Genomic DNA, 8,539 nt, shown 5'->3' on the forward strand with positions numbered 1-8,539 from the left:
TCCAGGAGGATCTCCGTGTCTGAGTTCTTTGTGATTCCTGTACAGCAGCAATTTCACCCGCAGGGGACAGTTGGCAATCTCTGGAAACCTTTTCCAAGCCTGGGGCTGGGGCTGCTACTCTCATCTGGTGGGTGGAGGCCAGGGACACCATTCAGTATCCTCCAACGCACAGGATGCCCCTCCACCCCCACCCCACTGAGAATTATCTGGCCTCAAATGCCAAGCGTGGGCAGCCTTACTTAGACTCACCCCAGGGGCTGGGACACGCCCCCACCTGCGTGTGATGGATTTGTTGGACCACATTCTGGACGGAACCCACAGCATGAGCACTCCTGTGAAGTGAGACAGGATGTGGGTGAGGATGGAAAGTGGAGGCTGAGGGAGAAGGTCTGGGCCCTGACCAACACGGAATGTGCCCCCTGGGACTGAGAGGCTTCCCTGGGCAGAGGGAAAGGAGGAAGTCAGTGAGGTAAAATACTCCCTGTGTGTTTTACCCAGCGAGTCTCACGCCATCCTATCACCCAGCCCCGAGGGAAGCCCACTCATGTTCACCCCATCTGAGCATTTAGGCTCAGAGAGCTCAATATCTTGTCCAAGATGGCACAGCTGGTGAAGTGGCAGATCAGAGATTCAACACCAGAGGCTGTCTGATTTCCGTCTGGCTGAAGAAAGATTTTGCATCAGGGAGGTGGAAACCATCTGTGCTTTTGATCAGCAAATGCCACCAGCAGGATCAGGGAGCTAGGCCATAAAGGAGGTCGAGAGACAGGCAGTGTAAGGTTCATTGGGAACCACATTGTCCATTGGGAAGCCACAACCTCTGCACAGACATTCACAAAACAGAGCCAGGCTGTGGTGGAGGCGAGACCACACAAGTCCATAGTGTGGGGAGCTGGAGAACTCCCAGCCTCTACCTACCTGGGGGCCCCGCTCCCAGCCTGTGCATATCTGGGGGCCCGCTCCCAGCCTCTGCATATCTGGGGGCCCTGCTTTCAGCCTCTGCCTACCTGGGGGACCCTGCTTCTAGTCCCTGCCTACCTGGGGGCTCGGCTCCTAACCTCTGCCTACCTGGGGCCTGTCTCCCAGCTTCTGATAATCTAGCAGCCCAGCTCCCCTCCAATCCTTTGCCCACCCCAGCCACAGAAGGTCAGTGTGGGAGGCATGTCCCTCGGACACTTTCTAGATCCTGGTTTTCATACACACAAAGCATGGAGGCGAACACTCCCTTCTGCATCGCCATCAGCGCTGAACCATAACAAGGGCGCTGGTGCACAGAGACAGGCCTCCACGGTGTCCCGCTGGAGCCCAGCCTGCTGCTGCCACTCCCTTTCTCTATGTGGGTCTGGAAATAAGTCTCGTCCCCTCGCAGGCCTCCTTTTCTTCATGAGTAAATGGGAGGCGGGAGGAAGGCATCCGGACCAGATACACACCAACAGCCTCTCGCAGCCCTGATGGTCTCTACTAGAAGGAATTAATATTCCTATTGCATAACTCACAACATTCCAATCATCACCAAACAGAACACGCTCGCCCCAGCCCCAGCTCTAGCCCCACTCTTTGTTCCCTGCATCCCACAGTCCTTGCCCTGGAATGGGGTTGACAGCAACAGGCTGCCACAGAGGAGAAAGACACATGTCTTCTTAGCCCTGGGACAGTGGGTAGGATAAGATTGTAGGAAAATTCCCTTCATGGTGAGACCATTTAGAGCCAAGCCCAGGATAGCCGGCTAATCCCCCGACCCTAGGAAGGGAGCATTGGGAACATGATTTCAAAGAATTCTGCGCTGTGAACTCTAAGTACTTGTTCTGTTCCACCTCCCTGAACCTGTCACTTACTCGAAAGAAAAACTTCAGTCTGCATCACGGTTTGGTGGGGGCTGATGGGAGGCCTGCCAGGGGCTCGGCAGTGAAGGCTGCCGGGAATGGGGGAAGGGAAAAGGAGCTGACCTTTGCGAAGACCTTACTCTGTGCCAAGCACTGTGCTGAGCCTTTTACCTGCGTCCTGTCATTGAATCCTCATGGCAGAGCTAGCTGGAATCCTTTTTTGGATAAGAGAGAATGGAGTTCAGAGAGGTAAAGTCACTTGTCCAAAGTTGCACAGCCAGGAAGGAGCAGAGCTGGATGAGAAACCATGTCTGATTCCAAAGCACATTTTTGTCTCCAGGGCTTTTATAACTGAGCCAGCTGAGAGGTTGCTCTCTAGTGGGAGAGTCCAGTGAGTTGGGGTGCAGTGTCTGGACGTGGTTCAGGGAACTCAGAAAATGGGGTGCTCTTCCGTTCACAATAAAAGGCTGAGCTGCTGTCACAAGAGAGGAACCCAACTTCTTTTTCATGGCAAAGTCACTCTGCTCCACCTGGTCACTCAGGCACCCAGGTTTCTTCCGTCTTCAGGTTCTTCCATCTCTAGGACCTTGTCACCATCTGCACGGTTGAAGCCACTGTAACATTCAGGTTCAGCCGAAGGGATAGGGGAAGAGAGTGTGGAAGAGGTACACCTGCTGTTTTCAGAGCCATGGACTCATCACTTCCACTTTCTAGCAATGGCAAGAGCCCAGCCATGTGACTGTACCTACCTATGAGAAGGCCTGAGAGATGCAGTCCTTTGCTAGGTGGCCCCATGCCCAGCGGTGACTCCACTGTGGAAAGGAGGAGGAGAGATCTGGTTGGCCAGCCTGTTGTCTCCAAACAGCCACCCTAATGCAGTGGGCCAGCCTCGGGACACCACGGGCAGTCTGACTTCAAACAAGCTCCACTTAGCAGATGAAATCAGAAAGCAGCTCTAGGCTCCCAAGGCTGCTTTAAATTGGCTCTGAGCAGGCCGGGTGAGGTGGCTCACGCCTGTAATCCCAGCACTTTGGGAGGCTGAGGCGGGCGGATCACCTGAGGTCGGGAGTTCGAGCCCAGCCCGACCAACATGGAGAAACCTCGTCTCTACTAAAAATACAAAATTAACCAACCATGGTGGCGCATGCCTGTAATCCCAACTACTCGGGAGGCTGAGGCAGGAGAATAGCTTGAACCCGGGAGACGGAGGTTGCAGTGAGCCGAGATCACACCATTGCACTCCAGCCTGGGCAACAACAGCGAAACTCTGTCTCAAAAATAAATAAATAAATAAATAAAAATAATTGGCTCTGAGAACTTATTCACATCCAACCCCCATCCCCAGATGAAAACTTAGACTATCCCATGATTTTTCTCATCTCTCTTGGAAAACAGAATATACCACAGACATTTTAAGTAGTAAGTAGAGTCTCAACTAAAATTCCTTGGCCAGTGTGATCATCAGTTTCCAGTCTTCATTCAAAAGAGTTTCCCTCCCTCGCCCAGCGGTGGTCTATTGCACATAAAAAGCTGGAGACTTGGGAAGAGAAGGGTGGATACTTCACTTTTCTCACTTGCCTTCTCTCTCTTTAGCTACTTCTGGTTCCTCTCTTCTCCATTCTTGGGAGGTGGGTTTGGGGGTGGAGGGAGAAGAGGCTGAGAAGGGGGTGGAGGGAGAAGAGCAGGGAGTTCTTCCTTGCCTAGTTACTACGGCACTTTGGGAAGATGGTGTCACGTTCCAAGCATGGCCAATGTTTAATGATACCATTAAAATCTCAGGGGTTATTTTGGAGATTGTTCCCTGCCATCACTAGGAACCTGTTATCTGCAGAGGCTTCTATGCATCTCTATCTTCCGGGTGTACCTCTTCCACACTCTCTTCCCCTATCCCTTCGGCTGAACCTGAATGTGGCAGTGGCTTCAACTAGGCAGATGGTGACAAGGTCCTAGAGATGAAGGAACCGGAAGACAGAAGAAACCTGGGTTGGTTGCTTAGTCCCTCCGCAGCCCCAAGGAATCTTCTGACGCCTTTTGATTCTCTGTGCAGAGGCTTTTTGCCCCTTTGGGGTGTTCTATCGGACAGGGCCTGAGGCACCCCCATGCCAGCTTCCTCTTGTGGTCAGCCCACATCTGGCGCATATGAAACTCACACCCTCTACCCCAATCAACTCTAAGAGTGTAAGTTGCTCTGAGTTTACTGGGATCTTTAGCATCTAACCCAGCCAGTCTGTCACATGTGAGATTTATCAGGCAGAGGACAGTGGCCCACAGAGCCACTCTGCCCAGGGACACATGTCCAGCTCTCTAGGCTTGAGCTAAGGGCAGTCCCTGTCACAGCATACTGTAGTGCTCAACAGTGATTCTCTTTCCCAGGAAATCTTCTTCCTGCTGACTATTGTATATCTTGAGAAGTACAAGAGTCAAGGAGCTGGTTCTTGGCCAAATGCTTTGAAAATTTTGCTCTTGGTTTGATACCTTACTTTGGAATCTGAGGTCAGCCTTCTTAAAGTGTCAGCCAAAATGAAGAAGCCAGGGTCATCCACCAGATAAAGGGGTCTGGGGAATGGCACTCACAGAGGGACCCCTACCTCATCTAGGAAGAGGAACCCTGAGCAGGAAAGTGAGTTAGAGAGTTCAGGATTGAACCAACCCAGGTATCCTGGGTGCACACCTTAATGCGCCCCTCAGTAAGAGAGGCAGAGCATTTGGCTTGTTCATAACGTAGTCTCTGGTCTGAGGCTGCCTGAGTTCAAATCTCACGTCTGCCATTTGCTCATCTGCTAAAAGGCAAATGACTTTTTGTATTGGTCAGCTATTGCTGCAATAGTGCTGTGTAACAAACCACCCCAAAATTCAGTAGTTCTCAACAACAAGCATTTCTTCTTAGGTTTACAGGTCCCTAGGTCAATTGCAGTTTGAGTGGACTGGGCTGAATATCACCTCAATACTGATCTTGTCTTTATTTAAATTTTTGACATTTTGTTCCTTATGGATTTTTTGCATTAATTTTTATTTTAAAAATATTACATAAGTCTGTGAACCGTGGCTCCCACCTGTAAACCCAGCACTTTGGGAGGCCAAGGCAGGAGGATGGCTTGAGGCCAGGGGTTCAAGACCAGCCTAGGCAACATGGAGAAACCCCATCTCTGCAAAAATCACAAAAATTTAGCCAAGTGTGGTGGCACATGCCTGTGGTCCCAGCTACTTGGGAGGCTGAGATGGGGGAATCACTTGAACTCAGGAGGTTGAGGCTGCAGTGAGCTATGGTCATGCCACTGCACTCCAGCCTGGGCAACAGAGTGAGACCCTGTCTCAAAAAATTGTATCTATCTATCTATCTATCTATCTATCTATCTATATTAATGATAGCACTAAATATCATTAATTTATAATGATAATATATAAATAATAATAATAATTACAATAATATATAAATAGAATTATAATTATAATATAAATTAATATAAATATAATACAATATATAATAAAAATTATAATTATATATAAATATTAACAGTAGCATTATATATATATATATAAAAAACATGAAAATATTATTCACCTTGATTCCTGGGGGTTTTTGTGGGTGAGGGGGCATCTGAAGTATTGTGCTTAAGGTAATTGCCTCCCTTGCCTCACCCTAGTTCTGGCTGTGGCTCCTCCGTATCTTCTCCATGACTCAGCGTCCTCATTTGTAAAATAGGAATAATCACACCACCTCACTGGATGGTTATGAGAACTAAATGACTTATTACTTGTGAAACATTTAGAATGGTGCCTGGCACATCATAAGCACCAGCCATAATGATTTCTGTGTCACTGAGGCTCCTTGCAGGTGCACCTGGGGGTGAGCAGCATTCCCACTGGGGCCCCCACCCTGGTCAGCATGGACTCTTCCATTTCTTCATCCTGGACTCTCAGTGAGGACCACACAAGGTGGACACCAAAGCACTTGGCGATTTGTCACATGGGGTACAGACGTCGGTCATCAGGATCATTTGACACATGTTCAATATCGGGTTTTAAGACACAGCCCCTACATTCTTTGGCGTGCCTCCCATCAAGAGGTGGAGTCTATGCCCCTCCCCTTGATCAGGGCAAGATGCTGATTGCTTTGACCAATGGTGTGCACTGGAGTAATGCTCTGTGACTTCTAGGGCCAGGTCAGAAAAGGTCACACAGCTCTGCCTGGTTTTCTTAGGGTGTTCTGTCACTGTCAGGATGCTCCTGCTAAGAACCCAGCTGCTGTGCTGTGAGAAGCCCATTTCATGAGGAGAGGCCATGTGGGGGTGCTCAGGACACAGTCCCAGCTGCATCCAGCCCGAAGGCCAGGCACGGTGGTGCAGGAGCCTCCAGCCCCAGCCATGGGCATCCTCTAGACAGAGCAGAGCAGAGATTAGCCATTCCTGATGTGCGTGGGCCAAATCCCTGACCACAGAATCTGACAGCAGGATAAAGTGGTTGTTTTATGCTACTAAATTTGGGGTGGTTAAGCAGCAACATAATCAGAACATTCACCAAAGCCTTCTTCATTGTCAGAGTCTCAGGACACAGAAATGATTCAGACAGTCTCTGCTCCACGAAGAACCAAAAGCAGCCCCTGAACTGTCCATTGCAATATAATCTGTCTGTGCTATAATAGGTGCTGTGAAAGCTCGAGGAGGAGCCTCTAACCGAGCCAGGGTGAGGTTCTGGACTGACCTCCCTGGGTGGGGAGATGATGCTGGAGTTGAATATAACAGATAAATAAAGGCTAACCAGAAGAATGAGGGAGGATGTTTCTGAATGGAGTGGGCAAGGGACTAGAGGCAAGACAGTGCCTACTGGAAGTTCAATGTAGCTGGAGCACAGAGGGCAAATGCCTACTGGTCCTGGAAATACTGGAGATATCCAGCTGCCACAGGACTTTTGCACATGCTGTTCTCTGCCTGGACAGTGCTTCCTTTTGGGACCATGCTGGCTTACTTGCTCACTTCATTCCTATCTCAGCTCAATGTCACCTACTCAGAGAAGCATCCCCTGACCTCTCAACCTAAAATTACTCCCTAATCCATCCCTCTCCCCCCTTCTCCCTGCCTTCTCTTTCCTCAAAGTATTGATCATCATTTGACGGTTTTGGTTTTGTTTTTTTTTTTTTCGCTCTTGTGGTCCAAGCTGGAGTACAACAGCACAACATTAGCTCACTGCAACCTCCATCTCCCGGGTTCAAGTGATTCTCCAGCCTCGCTTCCCGAGTAGCTGGGATTACAGGCGTGTGCCTCCATGTCCAGCTAATTCTTTTATTTTTAATAGAGACGGAGTCTCACTATGTTGGCCAGGCTGGTCTCGAACTCCTGACCTCAGGTGATCCACCCGCCTTGGCCTCTCAAAGTGTTGGGATTACAGGCGTGAGCCATTGTGCCTGGCTCATCACTTGACTTCTTATAATGTGTTTATGATATGTTTCTTCTGCTAAAATGTGAATGACAGGAGACTAAGACACACTTCTCCCAGCATAGCGTAGTGCCTGGCAGACAGTAGGTCTTAGATAAATATATCAGGAGTTGGATGGATGAATGAAGGGAGAGGCATATCAGATACACCTTTTGGAAGCCCCCTCTGGCTGCAGTGAGTGGGTTGGAAGGGTGTTTGAAAGGAGGCCGGGAGAGGGGGTTTCAGTTATCCAGGTGGGAGCCGATGGCATGAGTCTCTCTGGAGAGCCAACATGAGGATGATGAGGGGTCGGGTTTGAGGTGGGAGACAGAAGAGCTGGAATCTCCCAGGTGGAGGGCGTCGCATTGGGTGGGGAGGCAAAGGTGGGGCTCGGGATTGCCATGTGCGAAGCCGGTGGATGGTGATGCCGCCCACTCAACTGGGGCTCCAAGAGGAGAGAGTGCACATCGGAAGGCCTCCTGCGGTGAGCATCAAGGAGATGAGTCACATCTGTGTTATGTGGCATTTGAGGCTCCCAGGGGCCCTTCAAGTGCAATTGCCTGACAGGAGCCTGGCTGTAAGGGTCTGAAGCTGAGGAGAGAAGGCTGACCAGAGTGAAAATCTGGGGTTCCATCAGCCATGGAGAGGGTGGCCACTAGGCCATACAGCGAGAGGAGGACCAGGAGGAACGCCGTGACTTAGGGAAAGGCAGAGGGGGGAGGGATGGAGGAAGAAAGGAGAGACGGACAGAAGACAAGTTGGTGGGGTCATGGAAGCCGAGGGTAGGGGAAGGTTTGAGAAGAAATAAATGGTCTCCGATATCAAAAGCTGCCAAGAAGCAGGTTGAAGGGTGTCGACTAGGCCCGTGACGGGAAGGTCACTGGAGGCTTGGAGCCCAGGCTGTGGAGACAGGCTATGTTGCATGGGAAGAGGAGGGGGTGGTGAACAAATTCCAAGAGCATTCTTTTCTTTCTTTAAAAAAAAATTTCAGGCCGGGCATGGTCGCTCACACCTGTAATCCCAGCACTTTGGGAGGCTGAGGCAGGTGAATCACCTGAGGTCAGGAGTTCGAGACCAGCCTGACCAACCTGGAGAAACCCTGTCTCTACGAAATATACAAAATTAGCCAGGCGTGGTGGTCCATGCCTATAATCCCAGCTACTCAGGAGGCTGAGGCAGAGGAATCTCTTGAACCCGGGAGGCGGAGGTTGTGGTGAGCCAAGATCGCACCATTGCACTCCAGCCTGGGCAACGAGAGCAAAACTCTGTCTCAAAAACAAACAAACAAACAAACAAACAAACAA

The 8,539-nt window shown here is 50.2% G+C and overlaps 1 annotated feature.

Annotated features, from left to right (window-relative positions):
• Positions 7,214–7,945: an enhancer, noted in NCBI's record as "OCT4-NANOG-H3K27ac-H3K4me1 hESC enhancer chr22:35957537-35958268 (GRCh37/hg19 assembly coordinates)". NCBI's record gives its function as "activates a minimal SCP1, AML or CMV promoter by ChIP-STARR-seq in primed H9 embryonic stem cells {active_cell/tissue: H9 hESC(primed)}" and the evidence as "EXISTENCE:reporter gene assay evidence [ECO:0000049][PMID:30033119]".

The sequence above is a fragment of the Homo sapiens genome, chromosome 22 (assembly GCF_000001405.40).
Source record: "Homo sapiens chromosome 22, GRCh38.p14 Primary Assembly".
Lineage (NCBI taxonomy): Eukaryota > Metazoa > Chordata > Mammalia > Primates > Hominidae > Homo > Homo sapiens.